At 45.8% G+C, this 25,938-nt stretch overlaps 1 long non-coding RNA gene across 1 annotated transcript, besides 8 other annotated features; it reads right to left on the reverse strand.

The window, feature by feature from the left end:
- Positions 1–5,587: 5,587 nt before the first annotated feature.
- LINC00261 (long intergenic non-protein coding RNA 261) lies at positions 5,588–23,677 on the reverse strand. Its single transcript, NR_001558.3, has 4 exons — positions 23,545–23,677; positions 12,829–12,920; positions 11,718–11,840; positions 5,588–10,151 (listed from the first exon to the last, which is right to left on the reverse strand). It is a non-coding gene; the product is annotated as a long intergenic non-protein coding RNA 261 (long non-coding RNA).
- Positions 8,270–8,797: an enhancer, noted in NCBI's record as "OCT4-NANOG-H3K4me1 hESC enhancer chr20:22543873-22544400 (GRCh37/hg19 assembly coordinates)". NCBI's record gives its function as "activates a minimal SCP1, AML or CMV promoter by ChIP-STARR-seq in primed H9 embryonic stem cells {active_cell/tissue: H9 hESC(primed)}" and the evidence as "EXISTENCE:reporter gene assay evidence [ECO:0000049][PMID:30033119]".
- Positions 8,798–9,323: an enhancer, noted in NCBI's record as "OCT4-NANOG-H3K4me1 hESC enhancer chr20:22544401-22544926 (GRCh37/hg19 assembly coordinates)". NCBI's record gives its function as "activates a minimal SCP1, AML or CMV promoter by ChIP-STARR-seq in naive and primed H9 embryonic stem cells {active_cell/tissue: H9 hESC(naive and primed)}" and the evidence as "EXISTENCE:reporter gene assay evidence [ECO:0000049][PMID:30033119]".
- Positions 12,887–13,705: an enhancer, noted in NCBI's record as "H3K4me1 hESC enhancer chr20:22548490-22549308 (GRCh37/hg19 assembly coordinates)". NCBI's record gives its function as "activates a minimal SCP1, AML or CMV promoter by ChIP-STARR-seq in naive H9 embryonic stem cells {active_cell/tissue: H9 hESC(naive)}" and the evidence as "EXISTENCE:reporter gene assay evidence [ECO:0000049][PMID:30033119]".
- Positions 13,706–14,523: an enhancer, noted in NCBI's record as "H3K4me1 hESC enhancer chr20:22549309-22550126 (GRCh37/hg19 assembly coordinates)". NCBI's record gives its function as "activates a minimal SCP1, AML or CMV promoter by ChIP-STARR-seq in naive H9 embryonic stem cells {active_cell/tissue: H9 hESC(naive)}" and the evidence as "EXISTENCE:reporter gene assay evidence [ECO:0000049][PMID:30033119]".
- Positions 16,434–17,033: an enhancer, noted in NCBI's record as "OCT4-NANOG hESC enhancer chr20:22552037-22552636 (GRCh37/hg19 assembly coordinates)". NCBI's record gives its function as "activates a minimal SCP1, AML or CMV promoter by ChIP-STARR-seq in naive H9 embryonic stem cells {active_cell/tissue: H9 hESC(naive)}" and the evidence as "EXISTENCE:reporter gene assay evidence [ECO:0000049][PMID:30033119]".
- Positions 22,524–23,479: an enhancer, noted in NCBI's record as "H3K4me1 hESC enhancer chr20:22558127-22559082 (GRCh37/hg19 assembly coordinates)". NCBI's record gives its function as "activates a minimal SCP1, AML or CMV promoter by ChIP-STARR-seq in primed H9 embryonic stem cells {active_cell/tissue: H9 hESC(primed)}" and the evidence as "EXISTENCE:reporter gene assay evidence [ECO:0000049][PMID:30033119]".
- Positions 23,480–24,435: an enhancer, noted in NCBI's record as "OCT4-NANOG-H3K4me1 hESC enhancer chr20:22559083-22560038 (GRCh37/hg19 assembly coordinates)". NCBI's record gives its function as "activates a minimal SCP1, AML or CMV promoter by ChIP-STARR-seq in naive H9 embryonic stem cells {active_cell/tissue: H9 hESC(naive)}" and the evidence as "EXISTENCE:reporter gene assay evidence [ECO:0000049][PMID:30033119]".
- Positions 24,436–25,391: an enhancer, noted in NCBI's record as "OCT4-NANOG-H3K4me1 hESC enhancer chr20:22560039-22560994 (GRCh37/hg19 assembly coordinates)". NCBI's record gives its function as "activates a minimal SCP1, AML or CMV promoter by ChIP-STARR-seq in naive H9 embryonic stem cells {active_cell/tissue: H9 hESC(naive)}" and the evidence as "EXISTENCE:reporter gene assay evidence [ECO:0000049][PMID:30033119]".

Raw genomic sequence — 25,938 nt, forward strand, 5'->3', positions numbered from 1 at the left:
TTCAAAAATGGAAGCAATGTTCAGAATGTGGTCTGTCAATGAAATGGAAATAATAAGTATGGAATATCTCAAACAAGCAAACAAACAAAAAAACGGATATTCAGCCAGGCATGGCGGCAAGTGCCTGTAGTCCCAGCTATTCAGGAGGCCCAAGCTGGAGGATGGCTTGAGTCTCAGAATTGGAGGCTGCAGTGAGCTATGATCACATGACTGTACTTCAGCCTGGGTGACAGAGAGAAATGCTATCTCTGGAAAAAAAAAAAGTATGAATGATTGTTGTGGGGGGAGCAGCTTGCACAAACTATCCGTCTAGGAGGATATTAGCAGATCCCTGTAGACGCAAACTATTTCTAACAACACAGGAGGTGCTAGAAGCTGATGCTGGAGGTTACTGACAGTAACTAATGTGGAGATTTTCCTTATCATAAAGGGCCTGCACTAGATGCTGGCAGAGAGAATGGAAAACTAGGTGTATTTTTTTTAGATATTCCATACCTATTATTTCCATTTCATTGACAGACCACATTCTGAACATTGCTTTCATTTTTGAAAAATTGAAGGAAGAACTGAAAGGATTTGGTAAATAATTTTAAAAAGAGAGAGTGGAGATATCACCAATACCTTGACCAACTAACTCTTAAGTAACAAAAGAATGTGAATTGGGAGTTTCATAAAAATATGAAAAATATCCTGCAGATTTAGGCCAACGGACACCCCACCTTGTATTCCTCTACCTTGTGGATAACTATCATGGTCTGTTATATAACCCCAGAAATTTCCCTAAGCCATCAGAATCCACCCCTCATCTCTAAATATTTTTTATAACACTGCTCATAAATAAGAAGTAGAGCCATTGCTTGGAGGTAGTCTATAAAGCAGAGGCATGGGGCAAATGGCATTTTGAAGCAAAACAAAAAGTTTTCAATTTATCAGGAAAGAAAAAAAAAACAAATCAGACCCTGCATAACAAATTGGTTATATAAATACTCTGCGGTTGGGAGAGCTGCCAATACCCCTGCACATACAGATAATTTTGTAGGAGAAAGTAAAAATTTTGATCAACACCAGCAGAGCCTAATAGGCTGGAAGCCTGAGGCCTGACAAAGAGGCAGGAGGCACACCAGAAAACCCCTCTAACCTTGGAGGTGAGAAAGAAGGCAAAGGGAGGGAGGAGGCGAAACCTAGAAATAAAGATCTGGGAGAAACAACCCAATCTTGGAGCGAGCCCCAAAAATGCTTGTTAGAAGACCCACATTGAACAAAAGATCTAAATCTCATCATTTTGGTCTAAGATTTCAATGGAGAATTTCCCCACCCTCACCCAGTCCCTGCCAACCTGTTGTTACCCATCCAGCAGGACAAGGGGCTTACCGCTGCCAGCTGCCTCTCTAAGAGGAATTTCAACCACAAATGCTGGCATTTGACCAGAGACGGCCCACATGGGCATGCAGAATTAGGTCTTCATTGGAATAACTGAGCAGAAGAGCTGGGGCCTGGAAAGAGACTTCCTGGACATCCCAGGGCCCTTGTAGTGGCCAGGCCACTGTCTTGAGACCTCAGGTTCTGTCCAGGAGGGTACTGTGGTCTGGTGTGGAAGGGGTCAATATTTCCTATAAAGAAGGAGTGTTTTAAGGGTGATAAGAACTCAGCCATCTCTTCCCTATTTAAGAGGAAGTCGGTGTGAGTCCTTGGGCCCAGAGTTACATGGAAAAAGATATCGGTTCTTGTAAGAAAGTAGGCTTTGCACCACAGAAGGAGGCATTTGCAATGCAGAGACCGGAAAGGAGAAAAGAGGGTGACGTGTGCTCCATAGAGAGCAGCAGGGGAGCAGATCAGGATCCCCACCCCTTCTCCTGAGAGTACTCGAGCCTCACTTGAGACAAATTCTTAAGATAATCATAAAAATCCATAGCAACTTTGTTGATGTTGGGGTTTGCACTGAGATTCCAAATCAAGAGGCTGGGCAAGCGAAACAGGTTCGGATTTCTTTCACACAGCAGGTGAAAGAATGTAAGAACTCCTGGTCAAAGTCAAGAGCCCGGCACTGCCTGCTCTGGTCACATCTATTCTGCCCCACATTTCTATAACAGGAAATTAGGCCAAAATGCATCTCCAGCATCATTCACTTCCAAAATGCTCTCCATAACAAACTTTTTCACAATGGTCTGTGAAATTGTTTGTTCTGTTTATCCTCCGATGGAGGAGAGAAACTGAGTCCAATAGATGAGTTGGCATTTCCAAGCCTTTCACCCATGTCTGGGGCCATGAGGATGAAAATGCACCCACACCTCAAGTAAATGCTGTATCAGTGTTTCAGCACAAAAAAGAATAAGATGCTTTTGAGAGTGTGTGGCAAGTGATCTGAGTCATGAGGTCTCCAGAACCCTGATTTGAACAGTAAAATGAAGGAAATAGCCAAAGGCCTCTCCTATGCTGCTCCTCCGGTATTGACTGCCTGGACAGCACTACAGCCTTGGGGAGACAGATGCTCACAAGACAATTCTCTGCTGGAAACCGGAAGGCTGTGTGTGTGTGTGTGTGTGTGTGTGCGTGTGCAGCCTCAGACAGGTGACCTCGGAAAGCAGGAGTGAGGCCTTGGGGAAGTTGAGGCTGGCAAGAAGGAAAAGTCAACTCTGGGAAGCATCATTAGGCTGGTCATGGCCACAAGCAGCAGGGGCTCCAGCCAGCCAGCACCCTGTGAGGAGCCAAGTGGAATGCCGGCCAGAAGCATCCCCAGGGGAGCACAGGTGAGGGAAGCACGTACCCCACCCCCAGGGCTTGGGGCTTGCCCTGAGCGTTGACTTTGTGTCACTCTGGCCTGCACACACACAGGCCAGGCACATGGTGCCTCCCAAGAGCAGAAATCAAAATTCTATGTCAATGCCAAGTGCTTCTTGGCCGAGGGTACCGTTCCCCATGGCCACAGCAGGGATGCCAGGTGAGACTAGAGGAACCTAAGCCTGGGGGGTCCCCAAAGTCGGGTCCCCAAAGTCGGGTCCCCAAAGTCATCACCCAACAAATCTTTTCTTTCTTCTTAAAAACACATGTACTCATCATTCTGGAAGATGCCCTGACATTCCAAGTTTGGCCTGCACACTCTGTTCTCACACCGGCCCTGCCATCCCTACTACGCTCCATCCTCTTTGCTCCTTCTTGTCTAGCAGAAGGGAGCAGGAGCCTGCCTGCCAGCTGTGTCTCCTAAGGCAGCCCTGGCTGGGCTTCTCTCCCCTCTGCCTGTAAGGCCCAATGTTCAGATGTCAAGGGTCTGTCTTTTTATAGAAACAAAGAGCCATGCAGAATCACTGTTTTTGGGATTGCTGTCCTTGCAGCTGTGATGAAAGTCGATGACTTTCCAATCATTTCCTCTAACTTCTGAAGGGCTGGAGTAGCAAATGCCCCTTCCCCTCTTTTGCATGTTTGCAGGATGGGAGTTTCAGATGTTGTTTACCTGCCAGACGTGGAGTGGAGGCTTCCCAAAGCAGCATGATGTACCCACTTCGGGGCCACATGGTAACGGGGACTGAGAGAACAGGGCATCTTTTCTAAGACGGACCGAGCCAATCTGAGCAGTCTGGCCCTGCCTGCAAAGTCTGTGTGGCCTTAGGAACGTAATTTAACCTCCATGGGCTCCATTTGTTTCTGTTTGAGACCCTCTTCCTAATTGTGCCCGTGGTGCCTAGTTCATAATCAGTTCTCAGTTCATGGTGGCCCCCCTTCATCCCCCAAATGTCAAAGTCTCCAGCTTCCCATTTCCCTTCCATTCCTGACTCTAAGTCCTTAAATTGGGTGACCATTAATATTACTGCTAGGAGCATTTTCAGAGCACTTTACATTTACAGCGTTTTTTCCTTCCCAAATTGTTCTCGGTCCTTTCTTCGGAATAGGTATTAAAAACACCTCATTGGACAAATTCCTTTCCTTAGAAGATACATCATGAATATGGTTGGAGAAGGCAGGATCATAATTCGGAGAATTCAGGGTTGATTTCCCTTACCTTCCTGCTCTTTTGCTGTAAAGTCCGGAGCCCCAGGAAGTGCCGCCAAACTACCCCTTATTTTCCCTCCAAGAGCAGGGCAGAATAAATTGCTATTTTGTTTGGTTTTGTTTCTCATATACAAGGCCTCCCAGGCCCTGGAACCTAGGCTACTGGCATTTTAATTAATGTTAATGACTGGGATGACCTCCTCCCCATTGAATCTGAGTAAGGGAAATAAACAGGCAAACCCGAACAAAGCCATGTGCGGATGTGGTACCCTCTAGAAAAGCTGACCTCTCCGATGGCTGGCCAGGGTCTCTAACCAGGCCCATACTCCTTCCTCATATACCCCCAATTTTGAATTTTTTTAGTTCAAATAGAAATTGGTTGCAGGGGGAAGCAGGTAGATTTCCTCCTTTAATACATAAATGATTCTGGGTCCTCGGAATCAGAATCCCCACTTTCTTATTACTAGGAGCATTTTTACTCTGAGATCAATACAACCAGAATGTGTCCAACCATAACTTTACAACAACAGAAAAGATACATAGCAAATGCCTTCAAATACCTGGAATCTGGCCTTGAAATCGACCTGGCATTTAAATCGACATGTATATCCCAGTTGGGTCAAAACATAGTCAAGGTTTCCCCCAGAGATACTCTGTTTCATTTTCCTTTTCAAGTAAATTTCTATTTTTCCCCCCAACCTTTACAGCTTAAGCGTTTTATCCAGTTTAAACGTTAGGGATTTAAATTGCTATTTTAGTGGAAGAGGCTTGATTAAAACCTGTGTCCTCATCAAATTATTGGACAGTGGTTCTTGGGCTCTGTTTACATTAGTGTCAACCTTAATTTAAATTCCGCATAACTATATTTGCTTCGCTAAATGCATTCACCAGGAACACACCACAAATTACTTTGCATTATGAGCCGAGTCTCTTTGTCTATTGCAAAGTGTTTTGAAATTAGCACCATAAGTAACTAGCTGTAAGTGTCACTCCATCTCCTTAATGCCTCATTAATCAAACTCCATGGCAGCTGATGTGATGTCCAAGCCCCTAACATATAAGATCAGTATCATTTACTCCTTGCATTTGACCACGGTCTTTAAACTTGATTTGTTATTTGTGCATTTGCCCTCGCTGGAGCTCTGCTCCTCCCTCAGTGGCCTCCCAACACGTGGGGCTTTGTATGGATACCAGTTGCATGTGTACTCTTTGCAGAAATTGGAAATAAAAACCCATTTCCCATGTTGTGGAAATGCATAGCCTCAAAGTCAGGAAATTCTTTTAATGGAAGAAGAGTTCCACTTATTCCCCTGAGTTATCCACAGTGATTCCCCATGATTTTCAGATTAATGCTAAAATGCCATAATGGAAAAATTTCCCTGGGCAAGTTTTTCTCTATGTCAAGAATTAGAGAAAGGAATTACGTTCACCCAGGCAGACTACAATTTCCATCTTGGCCTCAGTTCCCCAAAAAACCAGATACATTTAGTCTAAGCACTTAATCAGGAAAAAAAAATGTATTTTTCCCTTATTATGTGATACGAATTATTCTGTACTAAATACAAAATTTTAGAATTTATGCTTGCAAAGAAATACAGAACAATTTATACTTAATAATTTTATTACATGTACACACAAAATCATAGCAAAATATGATATATTTTATAGGATTTTTTTGTCTTTTCATGATGCCATCGAATATTTGCAAATGCCTAAATGGAACCCTTTCTTCATTCTCCACACAAGTCCAAAAACACAAACACACACGCACACACATACACCTATACACATGCATCCTTTTAACCAAAGGTAATACTCACTGGTGTTAAAACTAACAGCTCTACTGGACAATGGCTTCATGGACATTTTAGAGGCAGTCTTAAGTCTGCTGTGGGCACAGGCATGTCGGATATGATTTCCCTGCAGGGATGCCCTCTCGGTGGCTGTGGGGGATGCTTGCGGCCCCTCGCCTGCCAGCGCTGAGCTCAGCCTCACAGTGAGCCGAGATGAACAGGTGCTCTCTTCTCTGGCGGCGGCGGCACGTGAGGTCGGCTCCTTGCAGAACAGCGTCTCAGTGGGAGACCTTTAGCTTCACGGCCTTTCCTTCTGACCACCCAGCAGGAAAAATATACGAAAGCGTTTTTTTCTGCCAGTTTTGTCGATGAGACAAAATACAAAAACAAAAAAACACACAGCATTAAAACTTTGTATTTCCCACAGGTGGGCTTTGGAAATGTTTACCACAGTCATAGTAAAACACTAGTTTTCTTCGGAATTAAATTTTTTGCCTTTCCACCTTATAAAACCATTCAGGCTAAATAACCACATTACAATAGAATTAAACATTGAAGCCTGGCTCCCGAAATCAACATCAGTGGGAAAACCCACTGATTCGGAACACACACCCAACAGTGCAAATCTATGTTAGATTTTGAATTTAATATCAACTTAATGTGACTGTAGTTTATATTATTATCACATCTACTTTCTTTTATATTTAAAATAGGCTCTGATTTTAGAAGAGCAAATGTAAAAAATATTTTGATTATTTGTTGATGACATTTACTCTGATTATAGGTGTAATCTATGGCAATTCCAAAAGTACCTTGTATGTCCCATCTCCAGTTCATCCTGCTTTTACCCTGAGTCCAGCAACCTCTATTCATTAGGATTCTGAACAAAATAAGCATGAAAGGGGAAATCCAAAATAATATTCAGAAGTGGCAAATCATAACTGAACATAGTTTTAAACTTGACAATTTAAAACTTTTGCCTCTTTTCAGCAGCCAGAAGAAGTCTGGTTATTTTAAGTCAAAATCTCTGCCCCAAAACCTCCTTTCCCTGCACTCCATGAACACCTCTCTCCCTTTTCCCCAAAGGCAACATTTTGGCTTGGCAAGCAATACACATCAATGAACCCTTCCATTTAAATGTCCCACAAAGATTGCATCCGATCACAGCTTGCAAGAAAGAAAGAAAGGAAAGAAAGAAAGAAAGAAAGAAAGAAAGAAAGAAAGAAAGAAAGAGAAATCAGACATAGGCAGTGTCAAATGTCTTATACGTCCGCCCCCTCTGTTCTTCCATTCTCTCCCTCACCATCCTCTTGTAAAATAAAAGAGAGCCGAGCATAACTTGTTACAGTAAAGGCACCCCGAGATTTAGGGGGATAAGTACGGCCTACTTGTTATCTGCAATGCTGCAGCTGTGCTTTTATCTGGCCAAAGGAGACAGGGGACAACAAAAGATCCCAAAGAAGGGACAGTGGACGCATGGGAAAACCACTACCCCAGCATTGTGGTGCCCTTCTGCTGAGCAAATAGTTCAAACTGTTCATTCCCATCTTCTATTCTCTCCCTGGTACATTGTTTGTGCCCTTGCATTTCATTCTGCAAGGAAGGTTGCTCTCTGGGCCTATAAGCAAACAGTCCAGAAAAGGGCTAGCCATCCTCTTCTCTTCCCCGGAGAACTAGCATTTTTATTTCGGCTCCAAGCTGTCAAAGATCTGGAGAGTTTATGTCAGTGTCCTGAATTAATTGCTTTAAGCTGGAGCAAGCTCCACGGGCTACCAAATGTCCAAAAGATGTTTATTAATAACATTTCCTCCAGGATCATGGCTCCAAGCTGTCTCTGGGTGGTGGCTTTTCTATGCTGCCACCCTCTCACCCCTGGCCTCTTAATGCTCAGGAGGGGATTGCCTCTTTCAGTCATCATGACAAAATTTAGAATTGCCCGGGATGAAATAAATATCCACCTATGTCACAGGGTGTGCACGGCGGATATCTTTGTCCTGACTCAGAAAGAGTTATAGAAGCCCTGTGTGCAACCTACAAGTGGTCTGGGGGAGAGCAAAAAGCAGCCAGGACCCCCCTCTGTGAAAGCTCATTTAGCCAATACAATTAGCAAAAGGAGCAGGAGAAATCGGGGCTTTGGCTTCCCCTCCCTACCTCCTCCTCCAAAAGAAAATTCAGTGAGGCTGACAACACAATGCATTTTGAAGTTTTCCTGGTACCAAAAAAAAGCCTCTTTAATAGAATGAAATAATAAACCAATTTATATACTGATATAAGACTAGGATCGTGAATGCCATTGTGTAATTTTCCACTTGACTTTTCATTATCTACCTGAACAAAATCAATCTATATGTATGGGATCAACATACAATTCCAGAGATAAAAGCTGAAAATAAATGCGCTTTGCATATCCTGGAGATAAAAGACACAATCCTTGGTACTGCCTTTTCTTCTCCAGCAGATGCATTTATAAAATAAATTGTTGTGTCAAGGAAAAAGTGAGACGTAGCAGTGTATCTTGAGTGTGGACTCCTTTGCTGGAAATATTGATCCTGCAAATGAACAGTGGTTAATAAGTACCCTGCAGACGATATCAGGTCTTTTGCCCTAGTTTACCCAGAGTGCAGTCTGGGTCAATGTTTCTCCCAACCAAAGCTCCTCACCTCCAAAAAAAAAAAAAAAAGACTTCCCCTATTAGCATGGATTTAAAGCTGAGGACTTCAAGGGCTTTTTAAAGCCACTCTACAGAGACAAAGCACATTGAAAATTCACATTACATTAGAAAACCCCATGCAGCAAACGCCCAGCTTGTGAAGCACACAGTCCTCAAAAGGGAAGGAGAGATGGTTCCATGCACTTTAGGGTTGACATTTATTACTTTAAACAGGTTGGGTTCCATTCCTTGTATGCCTTTCTTTGCTCCAATAATTAGCAATGGTGCTAAAAGTAGTAAAGCTCTCTCCCCATTAGCCATGCCATGGGTCCTCCTTAATTCCCTTTTTTTGGAATGTGTCACTGAATCTGCGTGAATCTGTGTGCCCTGGTGGGCAGATGGTGGGGCATTGTTGAGGGTGCTGTGGCTGTTTGTGTGCCCTGTTGTGTTCAGGGCTCTTCGAGGAAAGTACACCCACTCTGCCCTCCCAGGGTGGGCTCACCTTGGTTGCTGTTCACTTTCCTGTAAGGGAGGGGTTCATTTCCAACGTTGTATAGATAGCAAAGAGAGGCCCACAAGGCATGGGACCATCTTTCACCCCAAACAATCACTCTGAGTTTGTGAATATTTTCCGGTCATAGAAAGAGATTTCCAAAAATTAGCTACTCTTCATTGTTTATTCATTGTTAGATTCAGTAACCTCAGGGGAGCTTAAATATCTACCATGGCAGCGTGATTGTCACAGCTTCAGCTCTTAGGGCAGGACAACTCCACACTTGTATATTTTAGGATCTTTGCATTGACAAATGTTAATGGCTGTTGGTCTATTGGTTCAGCAAGATTTTGCAATTCCTGATGTTCACAGACCTCCTTCCCTTCTCCTGGGCTCTGTATTCACACACAGCACCCATTTGGACTGGGACCATTGCCTCTTGATTAGCAAATCTGGTGCTGTGCTCCACTCCTCAGTTTATATTTGTTGAAAACTCTGAGGAAAGTGTCCAGGAGCAATCTGATGCAGTGTCATGGCCTTTGGGGAAATGCTTGGGAGGGTCAAAGCTCAGCCTGGGGAGAAGCTCATGTGCTTTTAGTCACAGAAGACTCTTAGGACAATCAGTGTGCTTTATTCATTTCATCTTTTTGTTCCAGTAGCTGTAAATAAGCAAGTCTAGAGAAAGTGTAAGATGTGGTCAAGAAGAGTTATGCAGTCATTAGACTTTTGTTTGAAAAGAGAACACCTTCCTGAAGGCATGTTTTGAAAAGGTCCTATATTTTCATGACAGAAATGATGCCTTGAATGGCTACAGCTTTCAGCCTTGGTGAGCCCCAGCCTTATTTGATCCATATTTTAATTACTCTGTGATTCAAATCTGCATCGTAGGGAATCAGTACAGCGACATAAGAGCTTCAACCAGCATAAAGAACATTTTCAGGAGCTTTGTACCCCTTAAGTTCCCTGAGGAAAGACAACACACCAGAACAGGTGTCACTATTTCCACAGAGAAACCTGCTCATGCTGGAAAATGTCTTGCTAAGTGGCCTCAGAACCATCTTCTCAGGCTGGAACAGTGCTCCACCCACATGCAGAATCCTGACACAGTGGAACGCAGCCCATGTTGATGAAATAAATATTTAGTAAACAGGAGAAACTGAGTTTTTCAAAAAGGTATTATTATAATGTTTTTAGTGATCATGTCTTAGTTGAACCATCTTGATGCCATTTCCTAGAGGAAGAAAAATGTACAGTAAGAAGTCCAGTAAATATATGTAGATGCACATGTTTCAATAAATACAATCAGATGGAAAGTTGTCAACTTTTGCTAGCTCTAGCATTTTAAAAACTGTACATCAACAGTTCAAATCTTTAAAAAAAATAGATGAAGGGTATAAAACAACTTAAAGTCCAATGCGTCCCTTCACACCAGGCTTGATCGAGAAATGAGAAACCCATTTTACAGGTGAACTAAAATGAGATAGGTATTTCATTTACCCTTTTACAAAGGCCAAATGGGAATGCTTTCCAAAGTTGTTTTTATATTGGAGGTAAAGAGGGGGAACAGGAATTGGGTGAAACATAGTACTCAATCAGAATCTCCTGCAAGTCTTCTAGAAGCATTCACTGGAACTCAGTGACAATAAAATCCCTCCCCATGGTGTTCCAGATTACCAACACAGATATCCATTCAGAAGAGGATGAGATCTCAGAATGGGGCCAGAAGAGGACTTTGCTCTACCCTAAAGACACCGAGATCTCCACAGTACTTAACGTGTCCTTCAAGTGCTCCCTGATCAAGATAGTTGTTTTTTAAAATGAAAAGAAACATGACTTGATGACAACTTGAACAGTGAATTAAAATTTCATTTTGAAAGTATACTGTCACTGTGAAAAAATTCCTGGATTATAACACTACAGAATGCTATGAGAGACGTTTATCATTTATTCTGTCTTACAGTCTATCTCAAATTGTTATAAAATGTTTTAAATGCAGAAAACTAAGTGAAAAATCTCTAAACCTAAATTATCATTTGACTCATAAAGCATTGCTTTTATCACAGGGGACATGCAAGAAGGTGGCTGGCCACTCCTCTCATACATATCCCTGTTTTTCTTGACTTGAAAATGTCTCAAGTATATTTATTAAATATGTGTTCATTATTTAACAATGAGAACTATGTATCTTTTCTGCGTTTTTCCTACCATGTCACAGAACTCAAAAAGCACATGATACCAGGGAGGGAAACAGGTTCGTTTTAGAGAAATATGAAAACAGTTGTTCTGTTACATAACTGGGGTAATAACAGTATTATGGCAATTCCCTTTAAAATAGCATTTGATACACTTCAACAGAGGGAGTGTCAGGCATTCTGTTTTGTACAACTTCCGGCTGCATCAGCACCAGTTGTGTCAAACATGTTGATATAACATGGTGTTTATAAAAGTCGAGTTAGCTGTTCAAATGTACTTTATTTTTCTTTTCCAGAAATTCTACAAGACAGAGATGTGGATTCACAGTCAAACACAGAAAGGATACTTAGTTCTCAATGAAGCCGGGGGGAGGGGGTAGTTTATGAGAGCTTCCTTCTAAAAGGAGCTGTCTGTTCCCTGAAGAAATGACAATTCCTTGTCCCAAGCATCACTCAAAGTTCAAAAGAAGCATCTGCAGCCCAGCACAAGAAAGTGTTTTGCTACCAACATCCTGATGCCACTTGCACCTTAAAAGTGGTTAATACCTGCTGTGGATTGACTCAGATAAACCAGGAACAGCATCCCAGAATCTCTGCACACTGACCTGTGAATTGATGAAGCCAAAGACCACTGGTGAAGTCCATTTCTCTCCCTTTGCTTTCCTCCAAGACAAAGAAGAGTAGGAAACACACTGGGAGTTTTTTGTTGTTGTTTTATTTTGTTTTGTCTTTTCTTTGAAAAAAAAAAAAAAGATAAGCATCCATTTCCAAGTAATTTGAAGCGAGATAATTCTAGTTAGTGAAGAATTTCAATAACGGCTTTCCTAGAAACTCAAGACTGATTCAAACAGCAAATACTGAGATGCGGTTCCATCCCAATTTATGGGGTTTTCTTTTCCTTTTTGAGGAAATAAATAATTTTAAAGAGCCACAAAAGAAGGGAGGCAAATTATTAGATATTTTGCTTGACATCAAAGTGATTTTACATTTATAAAGGCATACTGGCTTTCAAAATTTTTAATGTTCCAGTCCTAGCTAAAAAGTCATGTCATGTCCCCCAAAACGAGCCTGAATTGATGCGAGGTTTTATGCAGACTTTAGGTCTGGTGAAGGGAATTTTGTGGAGCTATGTGTCACGGTTTGGGGTGAAATTAAACCCTACGCTTGATTCCAGTGTCCATTTTGAGCTCGTTAGGATTGCATGTGTTTTTCCTGTTTGCACCCGCTTTCTTCAGCCTTCTATGCACATACAGATGGTTACATTCTCATACTGGGTACCTGCAGAAGGTCACATGCTTTGCATCAATGGCAATTAGTTCCCTTTTTAAAATGGAAAATGTCATTAAGTTCTTGAATAATTCAAGAGTAGAGGTCACAATACAGTGTCCCTTTTGGGGGTCTTTATGGTGCAAATGGCAAAACAAGGCGATCCTATCAGTAAGAGTAGATCTAAGGTTTACAATGTAGCTCTATTTAGTGTGACAGGAAAATTAAATTACAGGAGGCACTCACTCATTGTCACCCGTTAACAGGCTTGGGAAAATTGTGAATCCCTGGGGGCAAATCACTGACGACGTGCGAGGGGAATAAAAATATTTCATTTTAATTGGCTGTTGTTTCCTTTGCTTGATTTTGAAAACAACAAACATAAACATGTCCCCCACAGTTCTCCTTGGAAATAGGGTCCCGAGTCTCCCAAACACGACCCCAACTTACAGTCTCTGCCCAGAGGCCGGCGGGTTAACCGCCCTGGGAAGCCTAGGTCTGTTTTCTCAGCGATGGTTGAGCTGGTCTTTATCCAGGGATTCCTGGGAAGGAAAATATAGGGACAGGTTTCAAATAAAAATGGGCTTCCACTACTCCGCCCCCCGCCCCCATCGGAGTCAGCTGGAATGCAGTTATTATGTTTCTGGAACAAGGGCAGCCCTTCGATTCTATCAGGACTGAGGAGGAGGAAGGGAAACAGAGTGACGCGGAGGCCACCCATTCTTTCTCCTCCCCAGAGGAAAAGGAGTTCGAGCTCCTTTTGAGATACCGGGTCGGAGAAGGTGCAGCTCGGGCTGGAGCAGGGTGGACGAGTGTTCGAAGAGGAGAAAGTGCAGGCTGGGGGAGCGAAACGAAAATCCTGAGGTCACTAAATGAGATAAAAGTGTCTCCAGGGCCGTGCCAGCACATCCTAGCCACCACTGGTGTCACCAGCATCCCGCCCCCCATTCTAGCCCCCTCTGTTGTCCCCCATTAAGACTGGTGGGCGTGGCTGCCTGGGTCCCGCTCCCACCGCAGCGGGGTCGCGCTCCCAGTCTTGACCCAAGGCCGTCTGCCTGTTCGCCCGGCCCTCCTCTGCGCGGTGCCCAGCGGGCTCATCCGGACGGGGCCGACCTTGGCACCTGCAGGAGAAACCCTGGACTCGCCAGTGTTACCGGAGACGGGAGAGCGATGGGGAGGGCGGGAGAGGAATACAGCTGACAGAGCCCATGGCGACTGGGGTGGGATAGGTCGGGTCCGGTGTGAACTGGCTGCCTAGGGTCGGTTCCCTGCGCTTTCTAGAATTTGTGGGGGAAAAGCAAGAATGACCGTCCCTCTGCCTCGTGCTCTTTTCGATCTCTCCCCCGACCCCCAGTGACATTTAGCAGGCATTTTCCTTTCGTGGCCTTCTCCACTAAGACCCTTGGAAGTCCTATGTCAGCGAAGTGAGCGTTGGGAGGGGACGAGAAGAACCCCCCGGAGGGCCAACCCGGGTTCCGCGTTTGGCGCATCTCGGCAGCCGGAGCTCGCCAAACCGGGACAGCCCCACGGACCCGCGGGGACTGGGGGCTCGGCCGGCTGCTCTGACGACCTCGGCGCGCCCGATCGGCCCCGGCTGCCTGGCCCCGGGTACCCGGGCACACGCCGCCTTCCCGGAGCCCGAGCACCCGCTCCGGCTCTCGCAGCCTGAGCCCAAGGAAGGCTGCTCTGCAGGTCCCCGGGCCACTCGCGGGGAGCCCGAGCCAGCCCGCCAGCCAGCGGCTAGGGCCTCACCCAGGAATGAGGAAAGGGAGTGCTGCTTTATTTCGGAAGCAGGTCCGACTCTGTGAACACCTAGATAGAGGGAGGCATTTAATTTTTATATGCACATATATATATATTGCAACGTGATTTGTCCTAGGTAGAGTTATTTGTGCCTCAACTTTGATACATTTCATGGTAGAATTAAAGGACAAGGTTCGTGCCTGGGGTGGGGGCGGAAGAGAATAGTGAAGGGGCAGTTTAGATGTTTTTTCTTTTCTAAATGATTCAATTTAAGCAAACACTTGGGGGCTCCAGGCCGCTGTAATTCCAAAGACAATTTTCTCTTGTTTTAATTTGATTTGCATTTTTTCAACGTTGATAATACTCAATTTCATGGCTGAATACACATGTAAACACGGTTAGGTCGTGTTTTTCGCCACTTGCACCAAACAGAATGTCGCTTGTCTCGGTGCCATGGGAGGTTACACGCCGCGTCCTCAAAATATCTGCAAGTTTCTCCTAAATTATTTTTCAAAACTTGGCCTGGAAATTTGTCTGAGCTTCAGAGGTGACGAACTAAAATATATCTAAACTGAATATATCTACTGAACTAGCCAAGGTGTGGGAAGACCTGCACAGACATTGCAAAAAGGAAGGCAGTAAAGGAAACAAATTCCTATTTGATATAGAATCAATCCTATTTTTACCCGGCATTATTTTTCTATATTGTATTAATAGTTTTAAACAATCCAAAAATAACAAAGAAATTATCTTCTCCCAGAAATGTTTTTAATGTGGATTTCATTGCTAGAAAGACAAGCATTGAGAAATATATAGCTATACCTTTATAAGGAGAGGTTTAATTACCACTATTGAGCTATTTTATCAAACATAAAAATTAGAAGAAAATGCAAGGTGAAATTGAGAAATAAGCGTTAGTCATATCAAAACTGATATTCAACAAAATAGCACTGCCAATGACAATGAAAGTAGGATGGTGTGACCTGCCTGTGAGCAGCTACCACAAAACTGTAATGCAAGCATATCACACATTGTTTTGCCCTCAGGACACAAACTAGACAGACATTGTGCAAAGAAATGTTTGGCACCTAATAAATTTATTAAAACTCCAAATACATTTTATACTCCATTTACGAAACTGTGCTGGAAAAAGTGAGGACACACTTTTTTGGTTTGTCCAAGAATACCTTATGTAATAAAATGGCTGTCTAATTTCCAGAGCTACCCTTCATTTAGAAATATATATTTATCTGCTTGCTATTGACTAATGTGGAATATTCAATACTGTGAGCAATATTTCTATCTCAAATCTTAAGAATTTACAAACTACAATGTTTGTTTTATTTTAAAAATCCTTAAAAATGAAAAGAATCCGTGAAAATTCTAAATCCTAAAAAATAAAATAGATCTGTGAGACTTCTTAAAATGCTTTATGCTCCAGGCTGGCTGATAATAGGTAACTGTATTTTAAATTGAGGTGATCTAATTTGAAAAATATCTTTTATCACGTGAAAGGCATTTAGGCAAACAAGAAAAAATTCCATTTGAAAGACAACAGACTTTGAAAGAGAAAGTCGCTTAATTTTTTTAAAAAACACACTCGTGGCAGGCCGACTGTCCAATGTCTGCAAGAAAACTGTTCTTCACCATTTGGCTTTTAAAAAAAGAATTATTAAATTTTAAATTATAATTGTTAGGATTTGTACTAAGGTTTTCTATTGTTTTGGAAGACTGGCCATTATGCCTACTTTATTTTACACAAATAGATGGCAGAGTACGCGCGCTCCTCACAATTGCTTCACAGCAAACCCATTCTTAGAGATGGAGCTAATGAAGGGGGCTAATTGTAACACACAGTCTATTCAGAGAATGCAAATGTTGGACAATAGAGTACATCTTTCCCTTTTTCTATTAGTAATTGAGGAGTAAATGGAGATCTTGTTAAGGATCTTAGAAGTTTGATCGTCACTGAGTGAGTTTGCCATTTTAATTTGCTTTCATCCCCAAAACAGATCTGTATTGAGACATGGCTACCTCAGCCAGAAGCAGAGCTGCTGCACCTCAGACAGAATCTGTCCTCCACCCTCAACTTCATTGAACTGGGTCTGAGCTGCAGCAGGAAACAGGGAGAAGGGCTGGGGTGGGGGAAGGGAGGCAAGGGAGGAATGGTCGGGAAAGTCTCTGGAAAGCATTCTAGACAGGTGGGGACTTCCAGATGTGGTATGGTTGGGGGCTTGGGAACTTGGGAGGGTGTGCACCTTGGGAGAGTCATGAGTCCTAGGAAGAAGTCACAGAACCCACCCCAACCCCTGCAAAACGTCCAGCAGCTGGGAGTGGGGAGGCGCTTAGCTAAGGGTGTCATACAGGGATAGTGATCTGCCTGTTCTTTCATGATGACCAAGAGCCCAGAGGCCTGAGCCTGAGGTAGGGAAGGGGTGTGTGTGTGTGTGTGTGTGTGTGTGTGTGTGTGTGTCATGTGGTGTGTGAGAGAGAGGAGGCAGGGAAGGAGGAGAGAGATTGTGGAATGCAAGGGAGAAATCATGCAGTTACTTTTAGTTGTTTACTGAGCAAGGGCAAAATCTAAACCGCGCTTGCCACAATCAATGAAAGGATCGCCTCAGCTTCCAGAGTTGAGCTCCCTAAATGAGTCTGGCATTCTGATAACTGCAGGTGAGCACCTGAGATCAACTCCTTCCCACTGCTCGATGCTGGGAAGAGATAGGGATGCATTTGTTCCTGAGCTCTGGGAAGGGAGAGGCAAGAGGGGGATTTAATTGTCTGCCTGGGTGAATCGAAATGTCCTTTAAAGCACAGAAATCAAGAGAGATTGGCCTTTAATTGGTAAACTTTGCTGATTGGGGGAGGTGGTAATTAAAATGGAAAGAGGACAAAATACAGATTGGCTACTGCTTCCCCCACTGTCTCGCCCCCATAAACAGCCCCCAAAATTGGTATTCTCCTCCCCTCTGGCCATCTTTACAAGGCTCAGCACACAATCTGATTGTGGGTAATTGTGTCATTCTTGTGTCCCAACCTTAGTCTAACACTCAGTTGTCCAGTTTGGAGTGAGAATACAATTTTATCTAGAACTCTGTTCACTTCCAAGAGTTGGCCATACACATGCCAACACGTGAGGAGCTGGCCTTAGAATCCAATTGTCTGCCTGTCTCTGAAATGCCGAAATGGAAGATGCTAAGTCTGCAGGGAATCTCACACCACTAAAAATGGACAGGCCAGGGAACTTAGCTTCCCGGATATTGAAAAGTAAAGGAGACCTCCAAGCCAAGCCTGAGCCCTGATTTGAGGAGGTCTAGTGCTCATTTCCACTCTGTGTCCCCGGAGCCTGGCACAAGCTTGGCAACTGTTCACATGCACACTCAGATGCACTCTGCTGGAGTGGTGCTCTTGTATGCGATGGGCCTACTGGGTCCTGGGCAGCATCCTCCCTCCCTGAGGGCTGCAGGTTGATGTGCCTAGGCCAGCATCCTATTCAGGGGCAAACCCCAGAGGCAGGTGTTTATGGAGATCTGCATTGGCATATATGTGAGGGGTGGGAGGGGGAGGCTTGCCGCGGGGGCTGGGGCCAGGGCGTGCTGGGGACCAGCTGTGGGCGGTGTATGCATTCCAGCTATGCTGTCACCTGGGTTGTCAGGCCACCAGGTGCAGGTCAGGGGGAGGTCAGAGGCAAGAGCCTCTTAGGACATTCCTAGCCCTTGCTCCCAGAATCCCTCGGTAGGGAATAAGGCAGACAGGCTGTAGCTCAGAAATGATTTGGCTATGTGGGTTGTTTTAAACTTATATGTCAGCCCTTAGTCTCTGCCCCTGACATTTTCTCTCTTGTCTGGCATTTTCTCCTTCTAATCACAATGTAAGAGCCTGCTTGCTGCCTCCTACTTTCCAGCACTGGCTAGCTGGCCCTGGAAGCATCAGTGGGGAGAAAAGCGTGGTCCAGGACTGAATGAACTTCTGCCCAACTTCGAGGGACCATGGCCACATAAGAATTCTGACTGTTACCCCAGAAGACAGCATGAGAATCCAGCCTGATCCCAGACATCACCCATCCTCGTCTCTTCTAGGACAGTCCACGGGGTTTGTGCCATCCTTCCAGGGGGTACCAAAGCCTGGCTCTTCTGAGATCTTCCAGTTTCTTTCCAGCCTCCCCCTAACACTTCAGATGTCCCTACTCATTTTCCAGATTCTGGAGTTCTGGTGAAGGCCGGCCTCCTAATTCATTGAAATAGGAATTGTCTGTGCCCCAGAGTCCTGGGAAGCCAGAATAAGTTGAGGGAATATGAGTTGAAAGACTCCAGCTCAAAGCTGCGCTGTGAAATTGGAGCAAGTTACCTAACTTCTCTCAGCCCCAAGACCATTACCTGTAAATTATGATTTCCACCAGCAGGAAGTGGGGAAGCTTAAAAGAGATCCTGTTCAGGAAGATACCTTGCATGGTTCCTGGCACCTAGGAGAACCCCACTCAATTGTGATTGGATTGACTAGAGTTTCCATTCAAAATAAGAGAGGGCAGGACGTGGATGGGAGCATGAAGGCCACTGAAAACACTAAAATGGTAAAACAAAGTTTCTGCCTATAAATTGACTAACTTTTCTGAAGGAAAAGTCTCTCTTTTCTAGAGAGGATTTTCTCAACTAGCAGGGGATAGATTTGTTGAAGTTACAACTTCTTTCTGTGTGTGAACTGCCCCAATTAATGTAGCTCAGAATCACAGAACAAATGAAAAATATATAGTGAAATTGATCTCCTTTATTTGAAACTTAAAATGGGTTTGTGGAGGTAAAGCAGGCAAAAAGCTTGATCAGAGCTTTATATTTTATACTGAAGGGTGCACATGTTGATATCTTGACTTTTTTGCTAAAGATGCTTCTGATTTCCATATGAAGCTCTCTATAACCCAGCTCCTGCCCTGGAACCTCACCCTATTCCTTCACTGAAAACGTCATCTAATCATCATCTGTCCTTTTCGATTATCCAGCTATCTACCTCAGGCCTTAGTGCCTTCCAAGCCCTCTCCTCCAAATACTTCCAAAGATTGTTTTATGTTTTCAAATAAAGCACTTTTAACATTCATGAATTCAAGTTAGGAATTATATATATGCTTTCCTTTCAGTAAGCAACAATTTCCCAACAAAATTCAATATATAATTACTTCTGCTTTATAAAAATAGAAGGAATAATAAATTGAGATTATATTTTTCATTAAATACCAAGTCAAAATTCACATGCATGCAATCCTATTTTTATTTGCTCAGATCATTACCAACCCTAGTTCAAAAACATCCCTGCTTATTTTTGGACCTGTGTCTTATTATTTTCAAATCATTGAAACAATGGGAAAGCTGATTTACTGATTAAAAAATAAACTAGGACCCAACCATTTAAAGAAGCAGAGATTGAACCACATAAGCAAGTAGAACTAAAAAACAGTAAACAATTCTCGTCACAAAGTTATAATGCTGCATTACACGCCAGTATTTTTCCCTTACACATATGTTTGTGAGGCTGAAATATTCTCTCTCAATAAATTTAATGATGTTTAAGTCAAGAAAGTATAGTATTGCCAGCATCATCTCCTGACACTGCTGGGAATATTGCTGCCTCTGATTAACAAGAGAGGGTTAAACCCCAGGCACTTGCCCTGGTGGGAAGTGAGACCTCTAGCTTTGCATGAATGAATGTAACTTAATTTGTTGCTTCTTTTAGCACTCCCAGCTATCAGTTGTGTTATCTAACAGTGAAATATCACCCCTTCTTTAGAGAGAGATTGAGGACAAGTAAGTCAATGCTTTTTAATGTGAACCTGCGGGGGGCGGGGGGAGTGGTGACAATGACATCTGACCAGTCCATGTGAATGTTGGCAGTGAGCTCAGAGCTCTGACAAACAGCAACTAACGTAAAAAATAAGCACACTGGTGTGAAGGTATGCTTGTAAAAACTCCCTGTCCTCTCTACCTTTTCATGAGTGGTACTTTAGCACAAGGTGGCAGCTTCTTCTGCAGAGGATACAAATGATCTGGACTAGGCCCCAAGGGTGCAGGGACTGAGGGGGAGGGGAGAATAGGCATCACCTCCAGTCTAGCAAGAGGGACTGCCACGGAATTACAGCTTGTAAAATAAGCCTCCATCAGTCTCCCAGGAGACAGCCGGCCTCAACTTGGGTGTTCCCTGCTTGTTAGCCTCAGTCATAATTGGTCTCTCCTCCCATCCCACGTTGTTGGTTTTCTGTGTGTGGCTTTTGGTGTGAGCGTGTTAGGTCATCAACAAATACAATAGCGGGAGGGGGCAACTGGGGACACACATGATTGTTTTAGAGAAGAAAGGAGAAAAGGGATAAGAGAGTGGGCAGGAAGGCTGTGAACAGAATGGGGAAGATGGCCCAGGATTTAGGCTTCCGAGGCACCCCCTGGAGTGCTCCAGGGTAGGGAACTCCCTGGGAGTTTTGTTAAAGGGAGAAGAGGCCTGCTGGGAGCTGGGGACCCTGCTGAGCTCCGCTGAGGACATTCATCCATTCAACGCTATTTTTGTTTGCTTGTCTCTGGGGGTGCCTGTAACATCCTGCCCACATCCGGTGCCTCTCATCAAAAAAGAATTTTTCAAAAAATCCCAATCAGGGTGATTTGCTCTAGAAAGGCCACGTGTGTGGAGCTGAAGACCTAAAGAACAGCCCAGGACCCTGGCGGGGGTAGGGTGTGGGTCACAGGCCTTCATCCTTTTTCCATCCATTGTTAAAATAGATTCTCACTATCTTGTCTCTCCATCCCCCATCTCCTTTTACCTCTTCTCAGAGGAAAGCTGGGGATAGCGGCTACAGTAAATTTCTGATCTAAAGTTAACTATAAAGCCTAGAGTGGAGATGTCTTCGCATTTAAGGAAGGTTGAAGATACAGTGCATTGTTTTTGCTCAGAAGGGGAAAGATAAAGATAAGATCCCTAGACCCTTGAGTCTTTATTTACTGTAAAAAGAACATTTGACTGGGAAGGAAAGAGCAAGAAGTGTAATTAAGTCAAGTCGCAAATTTTGGGGATTGATTATTTTTTTCTGTTTGTATGTTTCAAAGTTTTACATTTTACTCGACAACCCCTGGCTGGCCTGGTTGCCATGGTGCTGCCTCCAGGGCTGGTGTCCATGCTGTCCCCCACCCAGTAGGATTTCAGGTCTGAAATCTTGTTCTTTTGCTACAGCAGGGACAGCAAACTGGAGCTAATGGCACTAGGGTGTGCGTGGGGGTGGAGGTGGTCTATTCTGTATGGCAGGACTTGATGCCTACGACTTTGCGGACATAAGCCAGAACGGGCTGCTTGCAACTCCAGGTTCATGGTGTTTGGGAGGAAAATGTTTCCTTTCCTGCGCTCTCTTGCGGGGTGAAGGTGCATAGTCAGAAAAGGCCTTGCTGCTCTTTTGAAACATAACTGGTGTCTGCACATTCCAGATCTCATCTCGGCCACCCCTCCCTCCAAGCCAGGGCCACCTCCAGACCCCCGGATGTGTAGAAGCATGCACTGCCCCGAAGAAAACGCGTTGCCCCCAGGTAACTTCAGGTACCTCCTAGGGCTAACGCCTCCTTCTATGCCATATTGAGCCTTATCTCTTGCTTCTTCCCGCCCCCCTCCCACATTAAAAGGCCCCCAAAGCATTGAGGAGCGGCTTCTCTTTATGAAGCTGGGGAGAAGGCGGGCGATAAAGATTGGGCGTTTAAATTGGCCATTTGGAAGATTACATCTCTTCAGCGAGGGTCTTTCTTTCAAAACTCGCACTGAATTAAGGGTCATGGCTACTCCGTACCCGGCTCTCAAAGGCACGGCACCTTTGAATTAGGTTGCGGAGTGGCCTGGGCGAGGGGACCCGGGGCCATCAAAGGCCCGAGGGAAGGCCGTGGGGCGACACCCGTCTAATGACAAGTAATTGAAGGATTCGACGCCGCGCATTACCAGCGGAACGGGAGGCATTAATTATTTAAAAACGATTAGCCTTGCCGTGTGTCCTGCAGGCGTCCCATCATGTTCAGCGAAGATAACCAGCCACCCGAGGCGAGCCGGGGCTCGGAGGGCGGCGGGCGCGCTCCCCAGCAGGCTTCGGGTGCGGTGGACACGGGCGCACAGCCCAAGGCACCAGGGAAGGAGAGGAGGGGCCACCAAGGGTCCCCACACAGGAAGGTGACTACATAACACTGACCCTGCTGAACAACGAAACAGATTTCTGCCCACTTGGGTTCGAAGTCTGGTGACTGCGGCGCAGATGGGAAAAGCTTTCCGGTCGGGGGTGGTGGGCAATTTCCATGTGCCAGTTCCCTGTCGCATCAGACCAAAGACCCAAAGTAACCCAGCCAGGCACGGGCCTCTCACAGTGCCTGCTACCCAGGCGTTTAAAGAAAAGACCCCAGAGAGAATGTGGATCTGGCGTGGGGGCAGGGATTGGGGGGGGGCGCTGGTAGACACCTGGGGAAATACAACTTTATGAGGTTTCAAGGGGCAGCAGCAGAACTACTATTTTTCCGAGGTCCACGCCTTTCCGCAGGCGGCGGAAAGACGCGGCTGGTTCTGTTGGGTCCTACAAACTCGCGTCCTCCGGAATTCCCGAGGGCAAGCCCGGCACGCGCGAGCGTGCTCCTGCCCGTGGAAGGGGGGAAATCGGCGACTGGGTTGCAGGGAGAATGCGATGATAAATGGCCCTGCGTCTGCTTTCTGACTTTCTCTCCTGGACCCAGCTCGTAACCCCAGAGGCTCCCCAACCTGCCTGCCGCCAAGCACGGCTGTGCGCAAAAGGCCACCAGCCGCTTCCTGCAGCCAGAGCTAAGGTTCACTCGCCTCTTAGAAAGGCGCGGCCCCTCCCCTGCTGCTGCTTGATGACGATCCCCATCGTCTCCTCGGCCTGCCTGTGTCCGAGAAAGAGTTGAGACTGGACTCGAACCCCTGCGCGCCAAGGGGAGGGCGTCACCATGCTCCGGCCTCAGCCTCTTCAAACTCCCATGCACCACGCACATCATTTTCTGCTGACCCCCACACTAGATTCTGGGGCCAAGGGGGTTCCCCACACCCCACCCTCCACTGTTCTCTGGAAACATGCTGCTCTCAGATCGAATCCCCAGACCCGAGCCGCTCGAGGGGCCTGTGTGGCTTCCTCGGGGCCCTACCAAACTCCTCTAACTGAGCTCAGAGCCTAAGCGGTCTGAGTTTGCAACTCTACGACCCCTCATCCTTCCAAGTCATGCACTTTCCGAACCCCCTGCAAAAAAACCCAACGCCTTGAGTCTCAGTTGGCTGAGCTTACCACCAGCCAAGCCCGCCCGGGCGTCCGAGCCCTGGAAGGGAGAAGGACTGGCTGGGGGAGGGGCGGTGAGCGGACAGGAGTGGGGTGCGGACGCTGAGGAGGGGAGCCGGGCGCGGTCCCCGGGTGGGCGCGCTCCCTACCTGCGGCGGCCGGCGGGCCGGCTGGCGGGCGGGCTGCGGAGCGTCCAGCTCGCGGAGGGAGGAGGCCGACTGCTCCGAGCCGAGGCATCCCCGCATTTATTTGAGCTCAAACCAAGCGACTGTTGACTTTAGCACACAAAGCAAAGATTTCACTGCCCGCTAGTTTAAAAATGAATATTTTACCAAGATATCGATCAGCGTTATAAAATTCAGTTAAGTACAATGGGATCCTGGCAAAAAAAAAAAAAAAAGAATAATAAAGGAGGGGGGAGGCAATATAATATCTGTGCAAATTTGCTGAAGTGTGACGTGGCATGGAAAGTTTACCCTCCTGGAATTCGGATCTAGAATGTTTTTTTCGGTTGTTTACAGACTTTGTTTATTCACAGATCATGGTTGCTTAAACCGGCGCGCGGAAAGCGTGGGGAAAAAAGGAAAAAAAGGAGGGGGGAGAGTCTCTGCACCCCACAATGAGTAGAGTTGGGGAAAGCGCGCAGTGGCGATTTGTGAGCTCGTTATCTCGGAACCCGGGCTAGGGGAGGGATTTAAGCGGGAGGGGGGCGTGAAAGACACAAGAAGCACAGAAAAGCCTCCGAAAGCGCCTGCTCCCCGACATCCTTTTTATGTATTCGGACAGAACTATATCTTATCGGCCGGGATCAGTGAAGGGGGGCGCGCTAAGTAGTTTAAAACGACCCTCGCACAATGGGCGTGCCATACGAAACATAGCAGGTTAGGGCAGCGCTTTCAGCCTCCATTGTCCCCCACTCGGCCCCCGGCCCTGCCTCTCGGCTCCTTCGCCACGGGAGCCTTTTATGTGATAATGAAACACATTTCAGGCCGGGCTCACGACGTGTGTGTCCTTGCTAGGAGGAGAGACGGCCTGATTGCTGGCTGTGGCCTCCGGATCCCCCCCTCCCCAATTTCTCTTCCTTGTGTTCTTCGGGACAATGTGGCATGTTAAGAAAGGGATTTGGTGGCGGGAGGGGGGCAGTGGCGGGTGGGAGGCGGAGGCGATGCCAAACCCCCCTCAAGCGCGTGGGAAGGCCAGGCTTGTTGGGGAAGGCGGCGGGGTGGGGGATGGGGTGGCAGAGACCCCAGCAAGGTAGCACTCAAAGACAGTCTCCAGGTCTGGGGCGTAGCTGGAACACTCCAGGTTAGGATGGTCAAGAAGCCCAAAGATCTAATCTTGAAAAAAGGAGCCTGAGCTTAGAAACCTGAGGCAAAAAGTCCTAGCCTCCAGGCTTTCGGAGTGTTTTTACCCACCGCAAGCCACTGCGCGCGGGAGTGGCTCCCAAGTCTGCCTGACCCGCGACGACACTGATCCTGCCCTCGCCCAGCCAGCAGATGTCCTGGGCAAAACCAACACCAGACTCCCCTTTGCGCTGTCGGCCTTGGTTTTCACTGCCGTTGGCCGTCCTTTTAGGCCAGCGAGGTCGTCTGGGGGGAGAGGCAGCATGGTGTATAAGAATTCACTCTGGGATTTTTCGTTATACTTTTAGAGTCCTTGAAGGCTCACAAAATACCTGCATAACCCCTGGACCCTGCAAACCTGGATTGCCAACCTCACCTAACTTACAAGAAGATTTGCAAGAGCCTTGAGTTTTGGAGGGAGATGGGGAGCAAATTTGCCGACAGTGGCATCTTCACTACTGTCATGGTCCATTGGCCAGACACCCCTTACCTCCTCCTCACTCCCAAATATACCCTATTTTTAAAAAACAGACTTGGATTGTTACCCTGACTTACCCTTTCAAACCAATTCCAGGAGAAGATCTTCTAAATGTTTCCCTACACCAAGTGTCTCGCCATTTCTGGGTTAGTAAGGTCTTTCTGGGTTAGAAAGGTCTGCCATGGTTGTGCACAATACCTGCTCCAGGGAGAAGGGTGGGAAAGGGTGGCACCCTGTGTACAGAGGAGGCTGGAAGATCCAGGCAGAGTCCCAATTCCACCACTGTTCACAGTGGTGAACAGGCAAAGTGCTGCACCACAAATTTGCAAGTTTGATCCAGGCTCATTGACCTGAAGGGAGGCCCAAGATCAGAAGTACAGCAAAAACATGTGAAATTGAGGCTTCCCCCAAGAGAAGCAAGCTGTGGGGCCCAAGAGACCACAACAACAGGGCACATTCAAACAGCCAAGGTGGAAAATTGTGATATGTGGAGAGTGATCTTCTACTGGCTTTAAAAATAAACCTGCTGGAATGGTCTTCCTGGGATCTGTGTATTTCATTGTGTGTAAAGTTAACCCCCAAATTCAAAAAGTAACCATAAACCATACAAGTTCCATTTAATAATGTGCTTGCTTTAGTGTTTAGGGGGATGTGTACTGGTATCTGCAAATTTGAAGTGGATTTAGAGAAATAAGATGGATTGACCAGTGGAGGTGAAGATA

This window comes from Homo sapiens, chromosome 20 (assembly GCF_000001405.40).
Source record: "Homo sapiens chromosome 20, GRCh38.p14 Primary Assembly".
NCBI lineage: Eukaryota > Metazoa > Chordata > Mammalia > Primates > Hominidae > Homo > Homo sapiens.